The following is a 10,363-nucleotide window of genomic DNA, read 5'->3' as shown; positions in this document are numbered from 1 at the left end:
CAAACAGGGTCTGGAGTGGATGTCCAGCAAACTCCAACAGATCTGCAGCTGAGGGACTTGACTGTTAGAAGGAAAACTAATAAACAGAAAGGAATAGCATCAACATCAACAAAAAGATCATCTACAACAAAACCACATCTGTAGGTCACCAACATCAAAGACCAAAGGTAGATTAAACAACAAAGATGGGGAGAAACCAGAGCAGAAAACCTGAATATTCTAAAAACCAGAGTGCCTATTCTCCTCCAAAGAATTGCAGCTCCTTGCCAGCAAAGGAACAAAGCTGGATGGAGAATGACTTTGACGAGTTGACAGAAGTAGGCTTCAGAAGGTCAGTAATAACAAACTTCTCAGAGCTAAAGGAGCATGTCCTAACCCATCACAAGGAAACCAAAAACCTTGAAAAAACGTTAGACGAATGGCTAACTAGAATAAACAGTCTAGAGAAGACCTTATATGACCAGATGGAGCTGAAAACCATGGCAAGAGAACTTCGTGACTCTTGCACAAGCTTCAATAGCCAATTCAATCAAGTGGAAGAAAGGGTATCAGTGATCGAAGATCAAATTAATGAAATAAAGTGAGAATACAAGATTAGAGAAAAAAAGTAAAAAGTAACCAACAAAGCCTCCAAGAAATATGAAACTATGTGAAAAGACAAATCTATGTCTGATTGGTGTACCTGAAAGTGATGGGGAAAATGGAACCAAGTTGGACAACACTCTTCAGGATATTATCCAGGAGAACTTCCCCAACCTAGCAAGAGAGGCCAACATTCAAATTCAGGAAATACAGAGAACACCACAAAGATACTCTTCAAGAAGAACAACCCCAAGGCACATAATTGTCAGATTCACCAAGGTTGAAATGAAGGAAAAAATGTTAAGGGCAGCCAGAGACAACGGTCGGGTTATGTACAAAGGGAAGCCCATCAGACTAATGGCGGATCTCTCAGCAGAAACCCTACAAGCCAGAAGAGAATGGGGGCCAATACTCAACATTCTTAAAGAGAAGAATTTTCAATCCAGAATTTCATATCCAGCCAAACTAAGCTTCATAAGTGAAGGAGAAATAAAATCCTCTATAGGCAAGCAAATGCTGACAGATTTTGTAAACCACAAGGCCTGCCATACAACACCACCTGAAGGAAGCACTAAACATGGAAAGGAATAACCGGTACCAGCCACTGCAAAAACATGCCAAATTGTAAAGAACATTGAAGCTGGGAAGAAACTGCATCAAATAACAGGGAAAATAACCAACTAACATCATAATGACAGGATCAAATTCACACATAACAATATTAACATAAATGTAAATGGCCTAAATGCCCCAAATTAAAAGACACAGACTGGCAAATTGGATAAAGAGTCAAGACCAATCAGTGTGCTGTATTCAGGAGACCCATCTCATGTGCAGAGACACACATAGGCTCAAAATAAAAGGATGGAGGAAGATATACCAGGCAAATAGAAAGCAAAAAAAAAAAAGCAGGGGTTGCAATCCTAGTCTCTGATAAAACAGACTTTAAACCAACAAAGATCAAAAGAGACAAAGAAGGCCATTACATAATGGTAAAGGGATCAATTCAACAAGAGGAGCTAACTATCCTAAATATATATGCACCCAATACAGGAGCACCCAGATTCATAAAGCAAGTCCTGAGTGACCTACAAAGAGACTTAGACTCCCACACAATAATAATGGGTGACTTTAACACCCCACTGTCAACATTAGACAGATCAACGAGACAGAAAGTTAACTAGGATACCCAGGAATTGAACTCAGCTCTGCACCAAGCGGACCTAATAGACATCTACAGAACTCTCCACCCCAAATCAACAGAATATACATTCTTCTTAGCACCACATCACACTTATTCTAAAATTAACAACATAATTGGAAGTAAAGCACTCCTCAGCAAATGTCAAAGAACAGAAATCACAACAAACTGTCTCTCAGACCACAGTGCAATCAAATTAGAGCTCAGGATTAAGAAACTCACTCAGAACTGCAGCACTACATGGAAACTGAACAACCTGCTCCTGAATGACTACTAGGTACATAACAAAATGAAGGCAGAAACCAAGATGTTCTTTGAAACCAATAAGAACAAAGACACAATGTACCAGAATCTCTGGGACATATTAAAAGCAATGTGTAGAGGGAAATTTATAGCACTAAAGGCTGACAAGAGAAAGCAGGAAAGATCTAAAATTGACACCCTAACATCACAATTAAAAGAGCTACACAGGCAAGAGCAAAAAAATTCAAAAGCTAGCAGAAGGCAAGAAGTAACTAAGATCAGAGCAGAACTATAGGAGATAGAGACACAAAAAACCCATCAAAAATCAATGAATCCAAGAGCTGGTTTTTTGAAAAGATCAACAAAATTGATAGACTGCTAGCAAGACTAATAAAGAAGAAAAGAGAGAAGAATCAAATAGACACAATAAAAAATAATAAAGGGGATATCACCACCGATCCCACAGAAATACAAACTACCATCAGAGAATACTATAAACACCTCTAAGCAAATAAACTAGAAAACCTAGAAGAAATGGATAAATTCCTGGACACATACACCCTCCTAAGACTAAACCAGAAAGAAGTTGAATCTCTGAATAGATCAATAACAGGCTGTGAATTTGAGGCAATAGTTAATAGCCTATCCACCAAAAAAAAGTCCAGGACCAGACAGATTCACAGCCAAATTCTACCAGAGGTACAAAGAGGAGCTGGTAACATTCCTTCTGAAACTATTCCAATCAATAGAAAAAGAGGGAATCCTCCCTAACTCATTTTATAAGGCCAGCATCATCCTGATCCTGAAGCCTGGCAGAGACACAACAAAAAAAGAGAATTTTAGACCAATATCCCTGATGAACATCAATGCAAAAATCCTCAATAAAATACTGGTAAACCAAATCCAGCAGCATGTCAAAAAGCTTATCTACCACAATCAAGTAGGCTTCATCGCTGGCATGCAAGGCTCGTTCAACATATGCAAATCAATAAACATAATCCATCACATAAACAGAACCAATGACAAAAACCACATAATTATCTCAATAGATGCAGAAAAGGCCTTCAACAAAATTCAACAGCCCTTCATGCTAAAAACTCTCAATAAACTAGGTATTGATGGAACATATCTCAAAATAATAAGAGATATTTATGACAAACCCACAGCCAATATCATACTGAATGGGCAAAAACTGGAAGCATTCCCTTTGAAAACTGGCACGAGACAAGGATGCCCTCTCTCACCACTCCTATTCAACATAGTGTTGGAAGTTCTGGCCAGGACAATGAGGCAAGAGAAAGAAATAAAGGGTATTTAATTAGGAAAAGAGGAAGTAAAATTGTTCCTGTTTGCAGATGACATGATTGTATATTTAGAAAACCCCATCGTCTCATCCCAAAATTTCCTTAAGCTGATAAGCAACTTCGGCAAAGTCTCAGGACACAAGATCAATGTGCAAAAATCACAGGCATTCCTATACACCAATAACAGACAAACAGAAAGCTAAATCATGAGTGAACTCCCATTCACAATTACCATAAAGAGAAGAAAATACCTAGGAATCCATCTTACAAGGGATGTGAAGGACCTCTTCAAGGGGAACTACAAACCACTGCTCAACAAAATAAAAGAGGACAAAAACAAATGGAAGAACATTCCATGCTCATGGACAGGAAGAATCAATATCCTGAAAATGGCCATACTGCCCAAGGTAATTTAAAGATTCAATGCCATCCCCATCAAACTACCAATGACTTTCTTCACAGAATTAGAAAAACTACTTTGAAGTTCATATGGAACCATAAAAGAGCCCACGTTGCCAAGACAATCCTAAGCAAAAAGAACAAAGCTGGAGGCATCATGTTACCTGACTTCTAACTATACTACAAGGCCACAGTAACCAAAACAGCATGGTGCTGGTACCAAAACAGAGATGTAGACCAATGGAACAGAACAGAGCCCTCAGAAATAACACCACACGTCTACAACCATCTGATCTTTGACAAACCTGACAAAAACAAGAAATAGGGAAAGGATTCCCTATTTAATAAATGGTGCTGGGAAAACTGGCTATCCATATGTAGAAAGCTGAAACTGGATCCCTTCCTTACACCTTATACAAAAATTAATTCAAGATGGATTAAAGACTTAAATGTTAGACCTAAAACCAAAAAACCCTAGAAGAAAACCTAGGCAATACCATTCAGGACACAGGCATGCGTAAGGACTTCATGTCTAAAACACCAAAAGCAATGGCAACAAAAGCCAAAATTGACAAATGGGATCTAATTAAACTAAAGAGCTTCTGCACAGCAAAAGAAATTACCATCAGAGTGAACAGGCAACCTACAGAATGGGAGAAAATTTTTGCAATCTATACCCCATCTGACAAAGGGCTAATATCCAGAATCTACAGAGAACTTCAACAAATTTACAAGAAAAAAACAAACAACCCCATCAAAAAGTGTGCAAAGGGTATGAACAGGCACTTCTCAAAAGAAGACATTTATGCAGCCAACAGACACATGAAAAAATACTCATCATCACTGGTCATCAGAGAAATGCAAATCAAAACCACAATGAGATACCATCTCACACCAGTTAGAATGGCGATCATGAAAAAGTCAGGAAACAACAGATGCTGGAAAGGATGTGGAGAAAAAGGAACACTTTTACACTGTTGGTGGGGTGTATTAGTTCGACCATTGTGGAAGACAGCGTGACAATTCCTCAAGGATCTAGAACTACAAATACCATTTGACCCAGCGATCCCATTACTGGATATATACCCAAACGATTATAAATCATGCTACTATAAAGACGCATGCACATGTATGTTTATTGCGGCATTATTCACAATAGCAAAGACTTGGAACCAACCCAAATGCCCATCAATGATAGACTGGATAAAGAAAATGTGGCACATATACACCATGGAATACTATGCAGCCATAAAAAAGGAAGAGTTCATATCCTTTGCAGGGACATGGATGAAGCTGGAAACCATCATTCTCAGCAAACTGTCACAAGGACAGAAAACCAAACACCGTATTTTCTCACTCATAGGTGGGAACTGAACGATGAGAACACTTGGACACAGGGCAGAGAAAATCACACACCAGGGCCTGTTGTGGGGTGGGGGGCTAGGGGAGGGATAGCATTAGGAGAAATACCTAATGTAAATGACAAGTTGATGGGTGCAGCAAACCAACCTGGCACATGTATACCTATGTAACAAACCTGCACGTTGTGCACGTGTACCCTAGAACTTACAGTATAAAAATAAATAAATAAAAACTGAAGGAAAAATTTTTTTAAAAAGACAATACAAAGAGTAAACACAAAATAGAAAATGTCTTGCTTTTCCTCATAATAAAAAAAGCAAATTATAGCAAACTTGAGGTAACAATTTAATCACATCAGAGTATTAAAATATATTTTAAATTATAATATTTGATACTCCAGGCCATGGTGAAACTTTATTATATACTTACACAGCTCGTAGCATTGAACGTTTCAAAATTATTCATTTATAAAAACATTTATGTTTATGTCCTTTTACCCAACAACCCTACCTATAGAAATGATTGCTAAAGAAACACACTTAACAAAAGCCAAATCCACATTAACAAAAGGTCTACTCCAAATGTATCTTTAATAAGAAGGAAGGAAATTAAAATTAACTTAATATTCTACAATGAATAAATTGCTTATATATATTTATGTATAAAATCACTAAGTCCATTATATTTAATAATTAATGTAGACTTATAGAAACCACAGGTACTTCGAAAAAGAGTGGAACACAAAACAATATATATACTGAAAAACTACATCTTCAAAAACTAAAATCTAATCTGTAAAAATTTAAAGAGGTTAGTGTGATAATGGCTTGTCCTCTCCCTGCCAAAAGATTCTTGGAACTGTTATTATTGATCATTCTTTTTTTTACCATTATAATATTCAGTTTAATTCCAATCCTGTTTTCCTCCAGACTTATCTGATAAGCCTATCTAAACAGTATATGTTATGGTAGTCATAGGTGTACTTTACCAGTTGCTAATAACTGCATCTGATCATGATTTCTAAGTTTATTTGAGAATCTGCGGCATTAATTAATTAATTAATTAATCTGCAGGTAATTAATCACCTGCCATAAAGATTTGATTCAATAGCTCAATAGCCTTAAATGTCTACTACATAAGACTCATTGAATATGTACAATATCCATTTGGTTTTAGCAGAGCTAGAACAGCATATAAAAGTGCCTATGATCTGTTTATTACTAGGGTGTGAAAAGTTGAGAAGAAAGAGAGCTGGGAGCAGAGAGAGAGAGAGGATTCGGGCAGGAGGGCAAGGACACAGCCAGAACACATTGTTGAACCAGCAGTTTGGAGTTCACAATCTCCAAAGCAGCACAGAGGTCTTTCCTGGACAAGGAAATAAATAGCTAGCCTGGCATTTCTCAGTTCTGAGAAAGCTAACTGAAGGAAGGGGAAGAACCTACTGAATAGATATCTGGAGAAGACAGACCTGTGTTAGATTAAAACACACATACATGCACACACACAAATTTTACTAAAAGAAAATGTAGTTTTCTATCAAGCCTAGGAGTCAGAGGTTAGAAGGCACAAGCTAGAGAGAAAAAAAGTTTAAGCCCTAAAATCTATTAGAACATTTTAGGATAAATGGATTTCGCTTGAAAGCAGATAAGAATAGGAACTGACTGAAGTATTTTATACCAGCTTCTTCTCCTTTCCCCTTAAACTCTAAACACACCTAGTGACTTCAAATGGCAAAGTTTTTATGTAGCCCTACTGGGACCCTACCTGGGCAGCTGTGGAAAATCTGCTTGCAAAGAGTGTAGGCCTAGAGCCACTCAGGTTGGAACTGGGCTCACAACAGGAATAGAGACCTCCTTTCCCATCCCCAACCCCATCTTTGCCAGCTCCGATGCAAGGACAGGACCTCAGATGTTAGAATAATTTTGTAATCCTCATAACCCTGAACTGGGATGAAACATGGATATAGATACACTTAGATTACATCAAACTCATGGACATAGGATATACTAGGAAGAAAACTAGTTCCAAAAATATGTTTTCAAGGGTTTGCCTAAATAATTTTCTCTGAGAACTACAAAAAAGCCTTAGATAAAATAATTCACTCATAAATGTGATAAAATGAAGGTTTTCTAAACATAATCTTACCTCTTAGAGATTATTTAATTCGGGAAATTTCCTCCATTCAACAAGTCAAGACAAAGCAGAAAACTCATCATCTTAAATCTATTTTATCAGATTGAATACATCCAAATAATGTTTGTGAATATTTATCAATTCTCCATTAAGTTCGGTAAACAACAGCAAGCCATGAATTTTGGTCACTGCACTCAAAGACCATGCACATAAAAACACCATAGGGTACACAAAAAATCCCTGGTACTCTACACATCTAGGCATAAATTTATGAAGTTAAAATATAATGATTTTCTCACAGTTAAACATTTCCAAACTGAACAATTCATGGGAATTGTTCATTCTCTGAATAAACATGAATGCAGCCTGGCTCCCTGCCCCACTTCACTCTAACACTAATGACTAGGCCCATTTAATTACTAACTTCCAGGACCTCTTTCTTCTTTTAAGGACATTAGGATAAATTTCCCAGCATGCTTACTGACACAAGGCAACCCAACACAGCTATCTCTAATAAAGCCCTAGACCAATCACAATTCTCTGAACTTTGATGTTCCCTGAACTAAAGCTCCAAGAAGCCCAGAATCTTGTTTATTACAGGAATAAAATTAAATATCTTTGCTGAGATGAATCCACAGGAACCTCTCTGCACCCTGCCTCTGAACTCACCAGGAAGCTAGGGCCCCTGGAGTTTACTCCCACTCAGCCTTCTGGCTCCCCAGGCTTGAATCCCACACACTAGACTCTCAAAGTCGCTAGAATCAATTGCTCTATGTAGGCATCTGAATTGGCTCTGCATAATTGGCATCAGCTGGGTACACTGTGGCCAGGAAGGCTGATTCAGGCTGCTTCCCCAGGCAGGTAATGCAAAACCAGAAATGACCCAGACAATACAGAGACAGTAGGAGAGGCAAAGAGCAGAAGCTGAGATAAATTAGAAAAGGACCACAGAAACAAGAAAATTAAAACCATTCTAATGTACATAACAATATATTTTTTATTCTCTTGAGAAATAAGGTAAGTTAATTACTTGCAACCTAAGTAAGTGGGAGAGTACAGGGATTGCCTTATAATGATGCCTGGTCACTAACAATTAAGCCCTAAAGGATAAAGTCTTCTTATCAATGCTGAAGGGTCATCCCTACTTCCAATGCTAGATCCACCTTGGGAATGTGAGAGTCCACACTCTTCTTGGGAGAACTATCTAGTTGCAGTCCCCACAACGCCTTCAGACTCAAGTATACTTTGTACCCGCTTCTTAATACCTTGATCACTGTTTCTGAACCCTAGCAAAGAAGAATATTCCCAAGGATGCTCTTTTATGGCTTAAGTTCAATAAAGAGATTCCAAGCCCAGATATAGAGATCTCATATATTCCTAGGGAGCTGGACATCAATGTGCTTAAAAATTATTTGGACATCTTAAAATGCAGATTCTTATTCAGGGAGTCTGGGGTGGGGCCTGAGAATTTTTACACTTCTAACTCTCAGGTAATTCCAGTGCTGCTGCTCTGCTGACAACACTCTGAATGGCTAGGCTTTCAATATTTTAAAGAGTATAGTAGGTGCTCATGGGACATCTTATTTGCCTTAGAGCCAGTACATAGTATTTCTAATTTCTGCCTTAGGGACATCTTATTTGCCTTAGAGCCAGTACATAGTATTTCTAATTTCTGCCTTAGGCCTAGAATTAACTCCATTCATGACAAGTCCTCCTGTAAATTCCATTTCAGGCCTGACTCTTAAGAACTATGGTCAACTTTCACATTAGAGCCACTCCTAGTAAAGTCAACACAACTGAAATGAGATTAAAATCCATAATGAAAATCACCTATTCTCATCCCTTAAGTGTCCATGGTGATGAGATTGATCTGCATCCTCCACATCTGTAAGCCATACTAGAGGCTAATGCTGTGTAAAATGCATTTCTGTAACCCAAAAAGCTATCTATGCCTTGCATGAGAAGGCTGATGAAAATAAGCCATCTTCCACAAAGACAGCACCATAGATGTTTTGTCTTCACCCAGCCTACTCTGGTCATTAAAACTGGTTCTCTGGAGTCTTGTATAATTATGGGAATCAGGAAATCCTTGACATAAGCCTTAGAAAAAGAATAACAAAAAGAAACCTCCCAAGCAGAGACTGATCATAAGCACCTCAACTTGCCCCCTTGGTCATCCTCTGCAGAGCCTGGAGTAGTAGAGACTGTAGTTTCTAAAGACAGGGGGCAATACACAGGCATAATGGGATTATAGCAGTTTAGGCTCTTAGGCTTGATTTGGTATATTTTTAACCAAACCTCACTCCAGTTAACTGTTGGGTACCCTCATTTAACTTCAAAATACCATAAAGAAAATACCCCATAAGAGTTAATCCACTGACAAATTAGATAACTTAGATGAAATTTGCAAATTCCTATAAAGACAGAAACTACTAAAATTGACTCCAGATAAAGTTCAAAGTCTAAATAGACCTATACAAGCAAAGATATTGAATTACTTTTAAAACTTATCACAAAGAATAGCCCAGATGAGTTCACTGGTTAATTCTATCAAACATTTAGAGAAGAATTAATACCAATATTTCACAAGCTCTTCCAAAAAATAGAAGTGATGAGAATAGATGTGATGAAAATAAAAGGTGAGTATACTTCCCAACTTATTCTATGAGATCAATATTACTCTGATACCAAAACCAGATGAAGACATCACAAGAAAACCACCAACCAGGTGGCAGAGCAAGACGGGAGAATAAAAGCTTGCACTGTTTGTGGCCCCTGAAAGAACACCAAATTTTAACAGCTATGTGCACATAGGAAAGTACTGTGACAAGAACCAAAAATCAGGTGAGCAATCACAGTACCTAGATTTTACTTCATATTGCTGAAAGAGGCATTGTAAAGGATAGAAGAGACAGTCTTAAATTGCCTATACCACCCCTCCCTCATCTTCCAGCAGAGGTCCTACAGTGCAGAAAGAGTCTGTGCACCTGGAGGAGGGAGAGTACAGAGAGGACTTTACATTGAAAGCACTGCGGTCCTGTCATGGCTGAGAGCAACGCCATGCTGGGCTCAGTCAGCACCCATGCACAGAAGGAGCATTTGAACCAGACCCAGACAGAGGGAAATCACCCATTCCAGC

The sequence above is a fragment of the Homo sapiens genome, chromosome 8 (genome assembly GCF_000001405.40).
Source record: "Homo sapiens chromosome 8, GRCh38.p14 Primary Assembly".
In the NCBI taxonomy this organism is placed as follows: Eukaryota; Metazoa; Chordata; class Mammalia; order Primates; family Hominidae; genus Homo; species Homo sapiens.
The sequence above is the reverse complement of the archived record's forward strand: the minus strand, read 5'-3'. Positions refer to the sequence as shown.